The sequence below is a fragment of the Homo sapiens genome, chromosome 1 (assembly GCF_000001405.40).
Source record: "Homo sapiens chromosome 1, GRCh38.p14 Primary Assembly".
NCBI lineage: Eukaryota > Metazoa > Chordata > Mammalia > Primates > Hominidae > Homo > Homo sapiens.
The window spans coordinates 157,121,110-157,138,503 of NC_000001.11; the positions used below are offsets into that span (position 1 = coordinate 157,121,110).

At 43.4% G+C, this 17,394-nt stretch overlaps 1 protein-coding gene and 1 pseudogene across 4 annotated transcripts, besides 3 other annotated features; one reads left to right on the forward strand and one right to left on the reverse strand.

Moving 5' to 3' along the window:
* Positions 1-81: 81 nt before the first annotated feature.
* On the reverse strand, positions 82-17,286 carry ETV3 (ETS variant transcription factor 3). Of its 3 annotated transcripts, none has more exons than XM_006711210.3 (5): positions 17,207-17,286; positions 15,198-15,253; positions 14,362-14,599; positions 13,003-13,118; positions 82-4,870 (listed from the first exon to the last, which is right to left on the reverse strand). In XM_006711210.3, exons 2-5 carry the CDS (start codon positions 15,241-15,243, stop codon positions 3,732-3,734), a joined length of 1,539 nt encoding a protein of 512 aa, XP_006711273.1. In that variant the 5' UTR covers positions 15,244-15,253; positions 17,207-17,286; the 3' UTR covers positions 82-3,731. The 3 variants fall into 3 exon arrangements, with proteins under 3 accessions (XP_006711273.1, NP_001138784.1, NP_005231.1); NM_001145312.3 differs by having other exon boundaries at positions 15,198-15,256; NM_005240.3 differs by lacking the exon at positions 82-4,870 and having other exon boundaries at positions 12,036-13,118; positions 15,198-15,256.
* CYCSP52 (CYCS pseudogene 52) lies at positions 7,253-7,562 on the forward strand (annotated as a pseudogene). Its single transcript, NR_001560.1, has one exon. The product of NR_001560.1 is annotated as a CYCS pseudogene 52 (transcript).
* Positions 17,024-17,213: a silencer, noted in NCBI's record as "silent region_1444". NCBI's record gives its function as "represses an Ori minimal core promoter by ATAC-STARR-seq in GM12878 lymphoblastoid cells {active_cell/tissue: GM12878}" and the evidence as "EXISTENCE:reporter gene assay evidence [ECO:0000049][PMID:35858748]".
* Positions 17,024-17,393: a biological region, named in NCBI's record as "ReSE screen-validated silencer GRCh37_chr1:157107959-157108294".
* Positions 17,058-17,393: a silencer, noted in NCBI's record as "fragment chr1:157107959-157108294 (GRCh37/hg19 assembly coordinates)". NCBI's record gives its function as "represses an EF-1alpha promoter that drives an FKBP-Casp9 reporter gene in an ReSE screen in phorbol 12-myristate 13-acetate-treated (for megakaryocytic differentiation) K562 erythroleukemia cells {active_cell/tissue: K562(+PMA)}" and the evidence as "EXISTENCE:reporter gene assay evidence [ECO:0000049][PMID:32094911]".

The window sequence follows — 17,394 nt, forward strand, 5'->3', positions numbered from 1 at the left end:
GAGGACGGACTTGGCAAATTCTCTGGCATGACCACCCCAGCACAGTGTATGATGAACAACAAAACCAACTCTCAGCAAACATTACTTAAAAGTATTTTTTTATTTAATTTCTGAGGTAAAATACTTTTTTCTTTCAACTTCCATAACAAAATACAGAGCTATCAGATACCCCTGGAAAAAATATGTATATTATACATATATTTCTATAACATTACATCATATATATATAATATATATGCAAAAATTTGAAGACTTTATAGAAAGCGGAACATCTAAAAGGCACTGCACAATGGAGTTAAGATTACTTACATTTTATGTACATATACACACTTTACTCTGCTCAAGCAGGTAACTAGTGAAGTCACCTTTCACATGTAAATGTCTCATTCACAAATCCCTGCATCACAATTCTATAACTCAAAGAATGCTTAAATATCTCAAAACAAATTAACTGGTAACTTTTTATCCCCCTAAGAAGAAACCAAGAATGGAACAGTTCTTGAAAGATTGAATCAAAGTTGTCTTCTAAACAAAATAAAAATGTACGTTCCATTACTGTTTACAAAACAAAAAGCACAAACATAATTATGGAATAAATAAAAAACAAGGGACAAACAGCCAACTGACTCTACCCACTTGGTGAGAAGTGATATACTTCAACTATTTTTTTAATGCTTCTGAAAGTTTCTTGGCCCACAGAGGACTAGGGTGCAATCATTCCCTGTGTTAGTGAGTTGGGTTTAATGCAGCTTCAAAATTAGGGTAAAGGGACTTGGTGAAATGTTTACATTAAATATTTCACTCCTACCCATTCTTCAGGAAAAAAGGTGAGCTCAGCAAGGCTGGATGCCATTAAGAGATATTTACTGTTTTCTTTTTCTATAGCTAAAAAAGCAAACTTTACACGAAGAAGCTCTTGATTAAGGAAATTTCAATAGATTCATATTTATAAAATTTTAAACATTTGGCACAGCAAAATTTGGAAAAAATGGGGGAGAAAAAATAGGTCTGGTTGTTGTCCCCCTTTTTCCACCTGCTGCTGGACAGTGATGAGATGCTCACAGAAGAAAAAGGCCTGGCTTTGTACCAGGCTGGCGACAGGTGCTACCAGGAGTGGGCTGAGGGGAGAAAAACTATCTCCCACTCTTTTGGCCCAGGCAATGTCAACGACTTCCACATTCCCTGGCCCACTTCCTGAGCAACCCCAGGTTCGGCTCTGTATAAGGACCCTCCCCTCCCAACCCCAACCCCAGAGTGCAGTGCAAATCAACCAACAATTTACTGGTGGAATGGCAATCAAAGGAAACAGTTAAACACCAAACAATTTCTTAAAGCCAAAAAATATTTTTCATGGAGTTGAACATTTTTCGAGTGTGTTTTTTTCAAGTGTAAAAGCAGTGACATTTTGTTCAAACAGAAGCAGCATCTAGGAATTCTGGCACTTGGGTTCTAGGGGGTTACAGGTATGCATCATGGATTCTTCTCCCTCGTATTTAAAAAGGCCTCGTGTTTCTATTCCTGAGTTCATACCAACACCTGCTAGCTCTCCCCTCTAGCGGACAGTGGGTGGCCAGCCAGCCTCCCTGGTTAGATTGGGCAATGCCAAGCAGACATCCCTCATTCACCTGCTGGGCTTGCTTTCTGATTCAGAGGTAAGTCGAAGTGCAGAGAAAGAAACTTACAAAAGCACAACCACCAAAGGCAGCCTGAACGGGGAGCCCTGTGCAGACTGAGTTGCTGGAGACTACCCTCTCAGTCCCATTCCTGGGGAAAGGTAGGTCACTCATGGAATTTGAATCAAACATGGGGGAGGACACCTGCCAAGCAATAGTATGATGGACTCAAGTCATCCCAGGCCATCTACTGTCTCCCTCACCTGCCCTAACCTTTTCTGAGTCCCTCCCTCTCTTGTGCAAGCACTGTAGTTTAAAAAGGAAAAAACACCCCCCACCATTAAAAGACAACCTTCAAATGTTACTCAGTATATAAAGTTTGCTTAGGCTAAGGTGGAGTCAGAAATGTCTCTAATTGTAGACACCATCTCTGTGCCACCCTTCCTCTCATCGGATATGGAGTGATTTCTTCTCTCGCTGCTGCGACGCAGATCTGAGCCACAGTCAGGTACCAATGTACACGACATAGGCACATGTGCAAACACAAAGAAGGTGGGCTGCTGCTTCTTTCTCTCTGCCCCTAGTCCAGGCTCCTTTGCTTCACGTAAGATTAACACTTTCCCATTCCTCTGAAGTTGCTGGAAGGACATTTCCCAGGAAGAAACAATTCCTCACTGCCTATAAACTGTAGTCTCATGTGGGATAGTCAATTGAACATGAGAATCAGAACAATCTGGGCAAATGGGTATGGCAAGAATGGGAACACCACAACAGGACAGATGCCAACTCTCATTCATGCCAGGCCTTTTGGCATCTGGGTGCCTTCTGTGTCTTCTTTCCACCTCTTCCTTCAGTCTCAACATCCACTTGTACCCCCAGCTACCTCCCATGTTTCCAGGTATCATTGGCTCTTAACTCCCACAAGCCTGCCTTTTGGCTACCCATCCCAACAATATCAAGAGGGAATGACTAAGTATCAGCTAGAAACTTAGCCATGTCTCAACATTCCTGGATTATCTGAAAAGCTGTCGATGCCCTTTTACAGGTTTATGGTGACAGACCCGTATCATCTTAAAGTATGTTCATAGTTAAGGCTTGACTTAAGAAAATAAGAGAACCAGACATAATGGAAAGACCTCTTCAATAATGTTGTCATGCCTCTCAGTGAACGTGCTCACAGTCACACTTGGTTTGGCTCCCCAAACCCACAATAGAAAAGGAAAAATGAGTATTTTGTTTTTCATCTGTTTTGTATTTAAAGGCATTGGGTTACTTCCTCCTGCCCTCTTTTCTTCCCTGAACAAGAGTTTACAACTCCTCATGGCTTCTTAATAGGTGAAGTAGGTGAAAAGTCTGAGAAGCTCACAGCAGGGTTTGCCGTCCCAACTATGCAGCTGAGAGGTCGCCAGCTCCTGTGCCTTCCCAGCCCCACTATAATTGGCAGTATGTTTGTTCATGTTTCCTGAAAACATTTTCTTTAAAAAGGAAAAGAAAAAAATGCCAAACAACACCAACCAAAAAAAAAAAAAAAAAAAAAAGAAGGAAGAAGAAAAAGAGCAACATCCAAACATTCCCCAAGCCCCACCCCAGTAAGTCTGAGATTATCTTATTCCTTCCCTGAAATAATTATAAAGAAGCATTTCAGGCAAAATACTTAGTATTAATGGTCTCTTACTGCTCAACCTCCCAACCATGCCCTTTTCCCTTTTATGTGTATCTCTTGGAGTAAAATAAATTCATTAATGGCTTTCCACATACAAATACAATAGAAAAGAAAGAAGTCTGGAACCTGACTATCATGGGACCAAAAAGTATCTTGGCCCTTTGGGAGTTTCCTTGTCAGAAAGTATAAGCCTCAACAGGAAATAGAGGCTCCTTCTCCTTTGAGTTCAATACCCTCCCTGTGTCCTACTCACCAGGAAAATAAGTGTGTTCATATCCCACCTAATTTACAACAGAAGATAACCCCATCCCATCCCCAAAACATAAAAATACAAGTCTATGCCCCTAGAATGATCAAACCAGTTTAACTCCCTCCCCCCCACCCTGAAATCTTGCTACATAAATACATGTATGTATTTGATTATAGTATAAACAGCTCCTAATCCACTTCCAGTTCTAAGCATCAGCAGCTGCTGTTGCCAAGCCCTGGGGTCCTGACCCATTCCAGAGAAACTTGCCACTCTTGCTCAGCTCTCGGGCTTCAGGGTCATCATTCCAGCGCCGCTTCAACCGAAGCTTGGGGGGCATCAGTGCATCTTCTTTCTTCTCAGGTGCACTGGGCTCTTTGCCAGGCCTATCCTCACTGTCTTCAGTCACCTCCAGAGGTTCTCCACTTGGGGTGCTAATGGGCACAGAGGGCCAGATGGGTGGTGCAGCAGGACGGGCAAAGATGGTGCCTTTTTCCTCTTCAATGGTCCTGCTTGGCACAGTGCCCTCTTCTTGAGTGTGCTCCTCCTTCTCTCGTGCCGACTGCCTGAGGCTCTCAGGATCCTTTTCAGAGGCAGGTTCCACCTTGATTCTTGGGGGAATAGAAGCCATGGTGGGCGTGGTGACTGGTGCTGACTCCTCGCTGCTCTCAACCCTCTCCCGGTTCTTCCGCCCAACTGGTGGGGGCTGCAGCTTGATGGAGAACTGAGTTGACTCCTCAGGATGCATTTGGCACTGCAGTGGTGGAACCATGAGCCCTGGGTAACGGGGAAAAGTCCGAGGACTCAGATGGTAGTTGAACACAGAACAAGCTTGAGAATGAAGGTAGTGTTTCATTTCCTCAGGGTTGAAGGAGAAGCAGCTGCTGCTGGTGAAAGGGCTCAGGCCTGGTGATGGGCTATAGGAGAAGATGGTGGGAGTCAGGGAGAGGGCTGGTGAAATGGGGACATTAAGGACACCTCCGCGGCCAGGGATTGGAGAGACAGCGAAGGGACTGTGGGGGTCAGGGTACATCCCTGGCCTAGCAAACAGAGGAAGCATTATGTCAGGCTTGCGTTTCTGATGGCCAATCCCTCCTCCACCAATGGCATTCCTGGAGGACACGGGATCCACACCCCGGCGCCAGTCAGCAGCTGAGCCATCCTCCAGCTCTGAAAGCTCAGTCTTTCTATCAGTACCATTACTGGACTCCTGGCCAGAAGCAGTTAGGGAGCTAGCAGAGAACCGTCCCGGCTGCACATCATTGGTTGGAGAATGGGTGTCCAGAGGTGGGAAATGGAACCGGGAAGAGGCTGTTGGCACTGGTGGTGCACTCTGAGGAACCACACCTGTGATGGTGGAAAATACAAAAGCCTGCATCAGAGGACTGCTCATTCATTATCATCACTTATGCTAACTAAGTGCAAAATATTTAGTAGTAACAGGAAACAATCATTCCAACTGGACTGAATCCCACAGTTCTCCAACTTCCTAGTAACTACTGCTCAGCTGCTTCTACTCAACTTGTCATCCTTCTCTAGGCTCTTCACTGTCTTCACAGTACTCCTTACTGTCAAAAACATTGTAATTGCTTATCCATATTCTACAACCTAAATTCCACATGGCAGGGACTTCCTATTGTTCACAACTGTACACCTCACAGTTCAGGGCTTAACGGTTGTGTACTTCCTGTACACAATAAATATTAAGTGGAATGAATGAATGGGTACAAGAGCCTTCTCCTCTGCAACTCTAAATATTGTGTATATATTACCTGTTTCAATTTTTAGCTCTGCAAATAGTCTTATTTCCATAATTTTGGCCATATATATATATTCGTGTGTGTGTGTGACGAGGTAGAGGTTTACTGAAATATAAACATTCGAGAACATTTAAGATAGAAAATAATAACAACATATAGATAGTTGCTACAAGAGGACATCTGATGTTTACTCACTGCCTAGACTACCCACATGCTATCCCATTTTTCCTTGTTGGAATACAGATATATTTCGAGATGGGATATGGGGAGGGACAGAGCTGCCCTGGCTGACTGTAGGGAGGGGCAGAGCTGCTCTGGCTGACTGTGCGGAGGGGCAGAGCTGCCCTGGCTGACTGTGCGGAGGGGCAGAGCTGCCCTGGCTGACTGTGCGGAGGGACAGAGCTGCCCTGGCTGACTGTAGGGAGGGACAGAGCTGCCCTGGCTGACTGTAGGGAGGGGAAGAGCTGCCCTGGCTGACTGTGGGGAGGGACAGAGCTGCCCTGGCTGACTGTGGGGAGGGGCAGAGCTGCCCTGGCTGACTGTGGGGAGGGACAGAGCTGCCCTGGCTGACTGTGGGGAGGGACAGAGCTGCCCTGGCTGACTGTGGGGAGGGGCAGAGCTGCCCTGGCTGACTGTGGGGAGGGGCATAGCTGCCCTGGCTGACTGCACCTCCAGAGAAGCTCTGCTTGGGCCAAGGCCCCATTCCTGGATGCACCGCTTCGCCGCATATAAAAAGCAAACAAACCAAACCAAAAAACAAATCAACAAAACTGGAAATGACATGCATGGAAAGTAATGCATTAAAAACTCAAAGATAAAACTCAAAGACCCTATACCTCACATACACTGACCATGTTTTAGTAAAAACAGTTTAATTTTTAAAAAGGCTACACATTTGTTAAGTTCTTATTACCAAGTGTTTTATCATTCCTGATATACAATCACTGCTTCACAGAGATTCAAATATTTTTCAATCTCTCCAAATCTATATTCCTCTAACAAATTCTACTGAATGATCTCCATCTCCAACCTGCTTTCAAACATTAAGGAGGCTGGGAGAAAATCCAGGACCTACTATTCCTTCTTCCAAGTTTGCTTACTAAAATGTAAAGCTCTAAGTGATAACATACACTGTGCTACTTATGTCAACTTTTTTTTTTTTTTTTTTTTTGAGACAGGGTTTCACTCTGTTGCCCAGGCTGGAGTGCAGTGGCACCATCTTGGCTCAATGCAACCTCCACCTCCTGGGTTCAAGTGATTCTTGTGCCTCAGCTTCTGGAGTAGCTGGGATTACAGGTGTGTGCTACCATGCCCGGCTAATTTTTGTTATTTTTAGTAGAGACTGGGTTTCACCATGTTGGCCAGGCTGATCTCGAACTCCTGGCCTCAAACGATAAACTTGCTTCAGCCTCCCAAAGTGCTGGGATTACAGGTGTGAGCCACTGCGCCCAGCCCATCAACTTTAGTGGCTCACAGTTCTCAACTTCCCCAGTGATCCTCCTGATAAGACATGAAAAAGGTATGCCATCTGAAGTCTCAGGGACCTGTGGGTTCCTCGGAGGTGTCAGCAGTTTCTATAATAATGTCAGCAGGGTTCTCAGGCAAAGGTGAAGAAAGAACAAAGGAGAAGAAAAAAATAGAAAAAAACAAAATTTTAAGTATAGTGATCTAGGAGTGGAAACAAAAAAGGTACACAGATATGGGATGGTTATGAATTGCTCCCAATCAGCTGGTGCCTTCTCCTCTTGGTCTAGCAGACTCTGGAGTCTGCTGGTATTCGTAAGACTGTAGCTTTCTGGGTGCATGGGACTGAGTAACACTATGCCAGAGCCTCATTTCCCAAACTAATGTTCCACAGAAAACTGTTCTGCAGGACTTTTTTTTTTTTAAGCCACTGATTTAGAGAGCAGGACGTCTGGCTTCCGAGCAGGAACCTTCATATTGCCAGTGATGAAAGAGAGAATTAAATACGGGTGATATTGAGAAAGGCAAGAAGATTTGTGTTCAGAAGTGTGCCCAGTGCCACACTGTGGAAAAGGGAGGCAAGCACGAGACTGGGCCTAATCTCCATGTCTCTTTGGGTGGAAGACAGGTCAGGCCACTGGATTCTCTTACACAGATGCCAATAAGAACAAAGGCATTACCTGGGGAGAGGATACCGATGGAGTATTTGGAGAATCCCAAGAAGTACATCCTTGGAACAAAAATGATCTTTGCCGACATTAAGGCAGAAAAGGGCAGACTTGATAGATTATCTCAAAAAAGCTACTAATGGATAATAATTGGACACTGCCTTATTTATTGCAAAACAGAAATGCCTCATGACTTTTTTATGTGTACCATAATTTAACAGATCTCATAAACCAGAATCCAGATCATGAATGACTGACAGATTTTTGTTGGGCAGTCCTGATTTAATTAAGACTGACTTGAGATTAGATGAATATGTTTGGCTTTTGGAATTTTAACGGTAATTCCGATTTAGTAAATGCTATCTATCACTGTTTACCCCTTCTAAATATATGACTGGACTTCATTAGTAATGTTCAACTTTTCACAAAGATGATGAATGCCATCTTAAAACTTAATGGAGAATGGTTTTATATTTAGATTTACATAACTAGTTATGTGAATATATTTAAATACTGGGGAAAGTCCTTCACTGTCTTAGAACCAAGCAAGATTCACCAGTGTTTTATGTTCATTTGCCTCTTAAAGGCAAGGGCTGAAGATAAGGCAGCAATGTCTACTTTATATTTTTGGTTTTAACAATAATAGCCAATTTAATTAGAAATCTGTATCTAAAGTGATTTCTTTTACTTATTGAAAGGCATTTTAGTGGGTTTATGTGTAATATCAAATAAAGATTTAACACTTCTCACATTTTATAGGTGATCTATAGGATCAGATGCTTTAAAAATAGTAGCAAGTTAAACTTCACTCTTGAATTCTTTACCATCTAATTCAGACTAAGTTATAATTTGGGATTGCCTCTAAACAGCCATTCAGAAACATAACACTGTAGAACTGCTGTGTATTTGTGATTGGAAATGGTGCTTTTGCCAATTTAAAAGGAATTAAGTAGAGGAAATATAAACAAATTTAAAAATTATGCATGATTATAAGACTTAAGATAATTAAAAACAAAATCACAGACTGGAAAAAAAATAAAGCCACTGATTTAATTTTAAAATTAGGAAGAACAGATGGATGACCTTGCAAATGATTTGAGTAGAGCCAAGAGGGTCCCAGGCCAAATGTATTCTTCTACTAGCTTATTACAGTGGCTACAATTCTACCCTTTTTGATTCTTTTGGATCTTGACTTTCAATTAAGAGTACATCTACTCAAAAGCAAAAAGCCACTTCTATGTATTCAGAAGAAGGAAGTATAATGTGCAGGGAAAGGTCTTGTCTCCTAAGCAACTTAGAAATGCTTGGTTAAATCTAGTTTTGTTTTGTTTTTTTTTTGGAGACAGAATCTTGCTGTCGCCCAGGCTGGAGTGCAGTGGCACCATCTCAGCTCACTGCAACCTCCGCCTCCCAGGTTCAAGCAATTCTTCTGCCTCAGCCTCTCAAGTAGCTGGGACTACAGGTGCGCACCACCATGACTGGCTGATTTTTGTATTTTTAGTAGAGACAGGGTTTCACCATATTGGTCAGGCTGGTCTTGAACACCTGACCTCGTGATCCGCCCACCTCCGCCTCCCAAAGTGCTGGGATTACAGGCGTGAGCCACTGTGCCGGCCCAAAATCTAGTTTTTTATTAAAAAAGAAAAATAAACTGGAGGATATCTCAGTCTTTACATACGTTAAGGTATACTGTAAAGGAGACATAATAAGCAGTATTTTCCTGATGTATTTAGGTGGAGTAATGGGAGGTGAGACTAGAAGCAATACTGGGAAGCATTGCTTCTAGCATTCTGGAACCCTTATCTCTGATTAACTGAAGTAGCCCTACTTTTATATGTTGAGATATCAAACCTAAGATTTTGCTTAGAAAAAAAGTTTGCTGCTAAAAAAGAAAGTTTGAATACCATTGCTTTAGAAGTCCACCTCCATGAAGTCACCATGAAATTCAAGTACTGGGGTTGAAAAAACTGGGTCTGAATCTCAGTTCTGGCAGCTTCCACCTTGTAGCCTAGTACAAGTAGCACACTGGAATCTTTGACCCCCTCTGGCAAAATGGAATTCATAAGGTCCTTGCCTAGGTTCCAATCTTGGTCCTACCACTTACTAGTTATGTGCCTCTGGACAGCTTGCCTCTCTGTGCCTCAGTTTCCTTACCTGTAAAATAGGTCAGCACAGGGCCTATTGTTATGACGATTAACAGTTAATATTTGTAAAGCCCTTAGAATAGTACCAAGCATAGCAAATTGCATGTCATTGTTAAATAATTTTTTTATTAATCATGGTACAAAATTTAAACCCTAAAAAGACAACTGTCATTCGAATACGGACTATGTATTAGATAACAGAATTATATCAATGTTAAACATCCTGGGTGTGGTAATGTTATTGTGGTTATGGAGGAGAATGTCCTTGTTCCTGGGAAATACAAGCTGAAGTACACAGGGACGAAATGTCATGATGTCTGCAACTTAATCTCAAAAGATTTAAAAAGTATATATAAATAGAAAGAGATAAAGCAAATGTGGCTACAATATTAACCATTAGTGAATCTAGATAAAGGATATATGGGTGTTTACTGTCCTTCTTCCAGTATTCCTGTAGGTTTCGAGTTTTCCCAAATAAAAATTAAAAAACTGGGGTTGGTGGGAGTAGAGAGGCATAGACTGAGCGGTATCAAGTCCATCCCTGAACTGGTCTGTCCTGCCCCATCCTGACAGTATCTTCTGTATCTTTCCAATGTTTCTTATGCAAATATAAGAAAATATTTTAATAATGTGTTATACAGGATGCTTTTCATGATAAAATACACAGACCAGAATACCCCAACTGTCTCAACCCACCTTGTGGACATGATCTCAATGGCCTCCAGGATCTAAATCCACACAGCTCTATTTAGAGTACTTATCACATTTCACATTGTATTAAACCCGGCATATCTTATCTCTCCTGCTAAACTGTAAGTTCCGTGAGGTAAAGAACTCCCATTATCTGTTGAACAAATGAATCACAACCTAGAGGAGGAATGTATGATCTATTAAATAAGGGCTAGACTTCAACAGCTCGATCTCTCAGGAATTGTTTCCCTAGAAACTGTTCAATAGATAACTATTCAACCTACCCTGATCAGTCTTTAACTTTGCTGTCGTTTTCCTAATTTTATCATTTGTAAAATGTGGATATCAAGACATTCACTTCACTGGGCTGAAAAGTTGAATAACGTAATTCACAAAACTACTAAGCAAAAGTACCTCCATAAAGCAGATGTTCAATAAATGTTACATTCCTTTGTTATCATAAAGTTACCTTAAACAACATTTGGCCTCTCTGGTCAAAAGTTCTTTAAAAACTAATGACACCAGTTCTTTGCAGTTGTCTATACCTAGGATGTGAGCAACCAGGTAGTAGAGATAGATGTACTAAAAGAAATGTACACAGTTTTGCTTTCCTTGTGCTTTATTGAGACTGAGTCTCGCTGTCGCCCAGGCTGGAGTGTAGTGGCATGATCTCAGCTCACTGCGACCTCTGCCTCCCAGGTTCAAGTGATTCTCCTGCCTTGGCCTCCTGAGTAGCTAGGACTACAGGTGACTGCCACCTGTACTTTTAGTAGACATGGGGGTTTCCCCATGTTGGCCAGGCTGGTCTTGAACTCCTGACCTCAAGTGATCTGCCGGCCTTGGCCTCCCAAAGTGTTGGGATTATAGGCATGAGCCACCTGGCCCGGCCCCTTGTGGCTTTTTGATTAGGATCTTGAGCTTGGGTTAAAGATCAATGTTGGTTCAATCGCCTTCGGGCAGAACAGGTGTGCTGGGCCACTATTGTTAGGTTTCTAGATCAGATTCTTCACAGAGTGAGGATCCAGGTTTCCTTGCCCTGGAAAACCACATTACTTCCCAGGGCTTATGAATGCCCCATTCTAGGTTGTCCAAGTGGCTGAAGTTCTGGATTTTCAATAGATAAAAATGGGTCAAAGACAGAAGAACAAGACGAATGAAACATTTTTTTGGGAGTGGGGTGAAGGGGTATGAAAACCAACAAATTCTTTAAAATTGTTGGTATATACATCTAGATTCCCAATTCCTCTAGGCATACAAGGAAGGGGCAAGAGTGAGAAACAGAGGAAGCAAGATTTGAGTGGCGAGTACAGGTCTGATTTCCTAACGCCTCTCCCTCAGGCACAAGGAAAGAAAACAGGTTGTAATTAGAGAGATGCATTCCAATACCACTTTTTTTTTTTTTTTTAAATGCATGCCCCAGGGACAGGAGGGAGTGGTTACAGAAGTTGAGATGAAACTGTAATGATAGCAGAGTCAAGCTAAAACTGCCCTAACTTGTTGTGTAGTAATTACATATCTGCAATGGATCTCAACATTATGTTCTCTCAACCACACCCCCACTAATTTTTCAGGTTTCTTCCAGCTTTTCTGAGAAGTTGTATTACTGCATGATCAGCATTCTTTGCCTTAGCATACAAGGCCACAATGACAGAGTACTTACTGATGGACTGGTCAGAAAACAGTTAAATACAATCTACAGTAGTCCTTTCTTATCTGAGGTTTTGCTTTCCACTGTTTTAGTTACCCACAAAGGTCTGAAAATAGGTCTGTACAGTACACAAAGATATTTTGAGAAAGACCACATTAAGTTTATTACAGCATATTGTTATAATTTTTCTATTTTATTATTGTCATTAATCTCTTACTGTGCCTAATTTATAAATTAAACGTTATCACAGATACATATGAGTGGGGTTAAGGGAAGAAAAAACATCATATATATGAATGGAGTTTGGTACTATCTGTGGTTTGCGAATCTACTAGGGGTCTTAGAACATATACTGCTCAGATAAGGGGAACTACTGTATTTTCTTGGGCAGGAGTATGATTTGCATAAGGAAAAAAATCACAAACAAAAAACCACACAACAACAAAGTCTTTTGAGAGACTGCTTTCAACATCAAGAGAGAATGTGGGGAGCTGTGATGGAAAGCTATAACCAGGAAAGTCAAGAGGGGAAGCCCTACTGCACTTAACAGGAGAGAAGGTCAAGTAACCCCAGAATCTTTTTCTCTGAGGATTTGCTGTTGCAGATCAAAGACACTGCTTTTCACTGCAAACATGTGAACCTCCCCCTTCTCTGATCAAGGATGCTGTGGTTTTGATGATATTCACTTGATAAGGGAGAGCTTGGTAGTTTCACAGAAAATCGGAAGTGTTTGTAGAAACAGGTTCCCATCTATGAAAGAACCACTGGGCTGGGTGTTAAAACTGAGTCCTGAACGTAAAGATCATCACAAACCTATGAAACATCATTCCCAAACAAGATAGCGTAATAGTATCTAGGAGATTACAAACAATATGCAGAAAAGGGAACCAACCAAATAAACCAAAGAAATCTATCTTGATACTGAATAGCCTATAACTCTCCTTATAAGTGAGATGACTTGAGTAAGAACATTGAGGCAATCCAAAGGATCACATTATTTTAGTGTTTCTAAAATCTTCCTAAACATGCCATGTCTTAGATTTGGATTTTTAAAAATTCTTTTCAATTCAAAATTAATTCCCTACCAAAAGAGTTTGTATCTTACCACTTGACCGAATGTTGATGAATGGGTAGTTGGGCATCACCAGCTTGTTGAAGTTAAATTTATAGGTAAATCTTTTCCCTTTTGTTTTATGAAGGATCCTCTTGTTGTAATAGTATCTGTAAAAACAGGAATACATGTCCATTCGTCTTGTAGCTACTGACAGCTTTCAATACACTTAGGTAGCCACTGAGACCAACAATTCTTGCTCTGAGTATTACTTACAAAAATCACTACCAATCTTTCGCAGCCTGGCCCTCCAGGTAGATCTAGGAGACCTAACAGCTTAATTTTCTTACTCAATTTTCAACTCAGCTCGTTTTTGCCTAGAGGTTTACAAAGACAACTTCACTTTAAGATTCTGAACACTTATCCTAGCCCCAAACATTTTCTTCTCCATCTCTCTACAATTTCGATTCTACAGTCCATTTCCGTCCGGTTGCACTGCATGTCACTAACTGCTTAGTTTTTCTTTTTGGTCTTGCCCAGGTGGGGGCAGACAAATCACTAGGGAGACCTGATGTGGTTAGTCTGGAGGCCTAAGCTCAAAAGACAGACAAAGGAATGTACAACTGTTTTATGGTGGCAGGTCAAACAATGGCATGCCCTGATCTGGAAAACAGCAGCTAGTGTGGCCCGCCTCACCTTCAAAGACTCAAAGGGATGTGAAAGAATACAGCAAAGCCACTGTACAGAGTTTACATTTCAGGTCAGGAGAACTTCAATTATCTGGAACCTTTAGTCTTACATCTATGCAGTAGCAGAGGTCATAAACTGCCTTCTAGCCCCTTGAGGGCTAAAGGACTATGAAATGTAAGACCGACAAGGGGAAAAAAGAACCTGAGAAAACTTATAGTGATCAATCTTTAGACATATTGCAGCAGGCTATGGACAACCTGAGCTCACAGACACAGTTCCGGAATAGATAGGTCAGTATCACTGAATCTTCCTCCCGTGACTTGCTTCATCCTTTTCTAAGTTTCTTTCAGGGAAGCCCAAAGAAAGAAATTCTAACAGATTCTAATAGAGAAGTCTAAACTAATCCTTTGGATTATAAATGAACTCCAATCCATGTTTCACCATATACTCTCGCCCACTACAGAGCAGAATCAGCTGTCTGTCAGGATCCAGTGCCAGCCACATTGGAATCCCCTCCTACGTATAACCAAAGATATGCCTTTTCTCCTCCTGTGCCTATGCTACTCACATTCAACAGCTCTTCTACTCCCACTTTAAAGTGACACATTATTCACTAAGATAGTGTAGTCTTTTATTACCTGATACCCTTTTTATCTAGCATTCACCAAACAGCTTAGTCTCCTTCCAATCTGTTAACACAGATTTGGGAATCCTTTTCCTTACCTGAGGGCCCGGCTCAGCTTGTCATAATTCATCTGTGGTTTGCATTTCCTGCGGCCCCAGAGGCGGGCCACCTCATCTGGATCCTTGATGACAAATTCCCCGTACTCTCCCTGCTGCCAGGCGATGACATGGCGGAACTCTTCCTTCTGCAGCAGCTCCAGGATGAAGTGCCACAGCTGGATCTGCCGGGAGCCTGGGGATGACTCTGTTTTGTAGGCCCAGTCAGGAAACTGATACCCTTTCATGTGAGAAGGTCAAGATTAAGCTAGTTAAGAGGTAGGTACATACATACCAGCAACCCCAACTGCACATTCCACTGCTCAGAATCTAGAGTGCTTTGCAAACATGCTGTAAGTACTCTCAGTCAGCTGGGCCTAACCACAATGGGGAGAGGAAAGCACAGAGAAGTCACCTATCCTTGTGGCAATCATTAAATCTGATAAGAGTTGGGCAGCAGCAACCAGATGTCCTAAGCTGACCTTTTCATACATTACTAAATACACCTACTTTCTGTGAGGACATAAAAGTGCTAAAGGGAACAAACAGGAAAGATAAACTAATGTTTCAGGAAAATACAGCTGAAAACTCCTTTTCCCTAAGGTTGGAACTGTGTCTCTGACAGCAAAGAGACTCTAAAGCTTAGGATATGGGTGTGGTGACCAGACATGTTAAATATACATCCATAGGAAACAAGCCTACAACTGTCCTGCCAGTATCCACCTAGCCAAGAGAGTGTCAGTCATGGTCTGACATTTGTGAACAGAGCTCAAGTGGAGAGGACAGGAACCACTGAGGGAAGCTTCCAGGTACATCAGAGATGATTAACTTCTGCTCACCTCCACCTCCTTCTGGCTTTTCCACGATGCTACAGCCGGCTTTCATTTTCACCCGCCTGCTGAGAGACACAAGCCACACAATTACTTTAAGATGCTATTTATTTAGTATCCTCTCAAAAGTTTTCTGGCAGTCTCTCCCCAAACTTCCTTTCCCCTGTTCTTCTTTCCGTATGCAACTCTCTTTCTTTCAAACATGTCACCTCCAAACTGCTACTCCCCAAGTTATCAAATGATGGGCCTCAGGTCATCAGCTTCAAAAGCCATAATTATCTCTCACCTGACTTTAAACCACAAAGTGTAAACACTGTCTTTAATATTTGTTTTCCTCCTCCTGACCAACCCTTCAAATGTAAAAAAATAAAAATAAAAAAGGAAGGTACAGTGAAATGGGTCCAAAAACGCAGCCAAAACAAGTCAAACAGTTTGTCTTCTATTACTAGACAAGCCCACATGCCAAGATACACAAGCCTGAGTTCACCAAGATGTACCAGTTTAAAGGATGAAAAAATCCCAAATCCATCTGATTCCCACTCAAGAATGAACATCTGATTTTGATTTATTTTACTGAATTATGTGAGATAGAAGGAAGATTCTTCCCAGCCACAAACTGCTCCCTCCCCCTTGAAAAATACCCTGGGATACAGGAAGTAAACACACCATATGTACATTTACTCTATTCAAAAAACACACACAAACTCTCAAAAATTTTTTGAGAAAAATTATACATTTTCTCCATTTAACAGGAAGGGGTGAAAAGCAGGCATTTCTGAAGCCCTTCTGGCCAGTGAGTGGAAGGAGTCTTGCTGCGATTTGAATTCATTCCATCCAGATTTACAGTTCCTCAATAAATTTCCTGTTCCTCCCAGCAAGGAGCTTTGTGTTAATCACTTAGCAAAAAGGAGGGAGGGGTGAAACTGCCAGAGGGACATGGAGGGAGGGCAGATCTACCCTCGCTGTTCCCCAGGGTGGATGACAGGCCCTCAGCATCCACATTAGCAGGCATCTGGAGAGAATGCCTAAGTGGCCCCCGCGTAGGGACAAATTCCTTATCTTGGAAATTTCACCTAACCTAGGATTTCTCTAGATCTTTTGAATATTTTTTCTCACCAAACACATTAAGGAGACCAGCAAGTGTCAGTCTACAAAACTACTAGCGGCCGAGGACAAGATAAACACCCCAAAGGAAGGAGCAGACAAGGAAAAACACACACACACACACACACACACACACACACTCTCACACACACACGAGATACATAATAACGAGGCACCGGGGCTGAGGCAGGAGCTTCCTCTTCCACCTTAGTGACAATGAGGGAGGAAAAACACGAATTTCCCCACTGCTCCAGGAAGCTGCCCTGGACTCTTAACTCCTAGGATGCGCTGTCAGATCGCGAGGCCTTTTACCCTGCCACAGAACTCCCTCCAACCATCACGACCCTGGGGTCCAAATCCCGTTGCAACGATAACCTGACAAGGAAACCCTCTCTTGACACTCCAGCTCTCCAATTTTCCCCATAAAAGTCCCTTTCCCAGGAGCCCTGGGGCGCCTCTGCACGCCTTTCGCATATTCACTGCAAGGACACTTCCATCCAAGTAGGGCCACTCGTCTCAACTCTGCAAACCACAGGACCCCTGCCCTTCCTCTGATCGCGACCACTCCCCGAAGAGTGAGGCATGCACAGTCTGGCGCTGCGGGTTTCCCGCAGCAGCTCCGGGTCCTGGCTTCCACAGCCCCCAGAACCTCCTTGCCATTCACCTCCCGGGCCGGGCTTCCCTTAACCGTGGCCTCAGGGCTGCGCGGGGCCACCGCATGAACGCTGCCCTGGGTCCCTGTCGCCCCTCAGACAGACACGGGATCCCACCCTCCCCCGCCCCCCGCACTGGGTGAGGCCCAGCTGGGTGGGTACGCGGCCTGGCGGCCGGCCCCGATTCCAGGGACGCCGTCCCCGCCAGGGTCCCGGATCCAACCCAGACACCCCGGCGGCCGAGGCGAGGCCGGGACTCACCTCTTCCCGGCACGGTCCGTCTTCGGTCCGGTCTCCTCCGCGGCGTCTCCGGCTCCTCCTCATCCACCCCAGCAGGAAGTGACCTCCTCGGCTGCTTTCGTCACTTCCATCCTCAGCAGAGAGGGCGGGGGAGGAGGAGGCGCCCTCCCGCCGGTTCCCAGCCTCACCTCGCCGCACCCAGCAGCGTC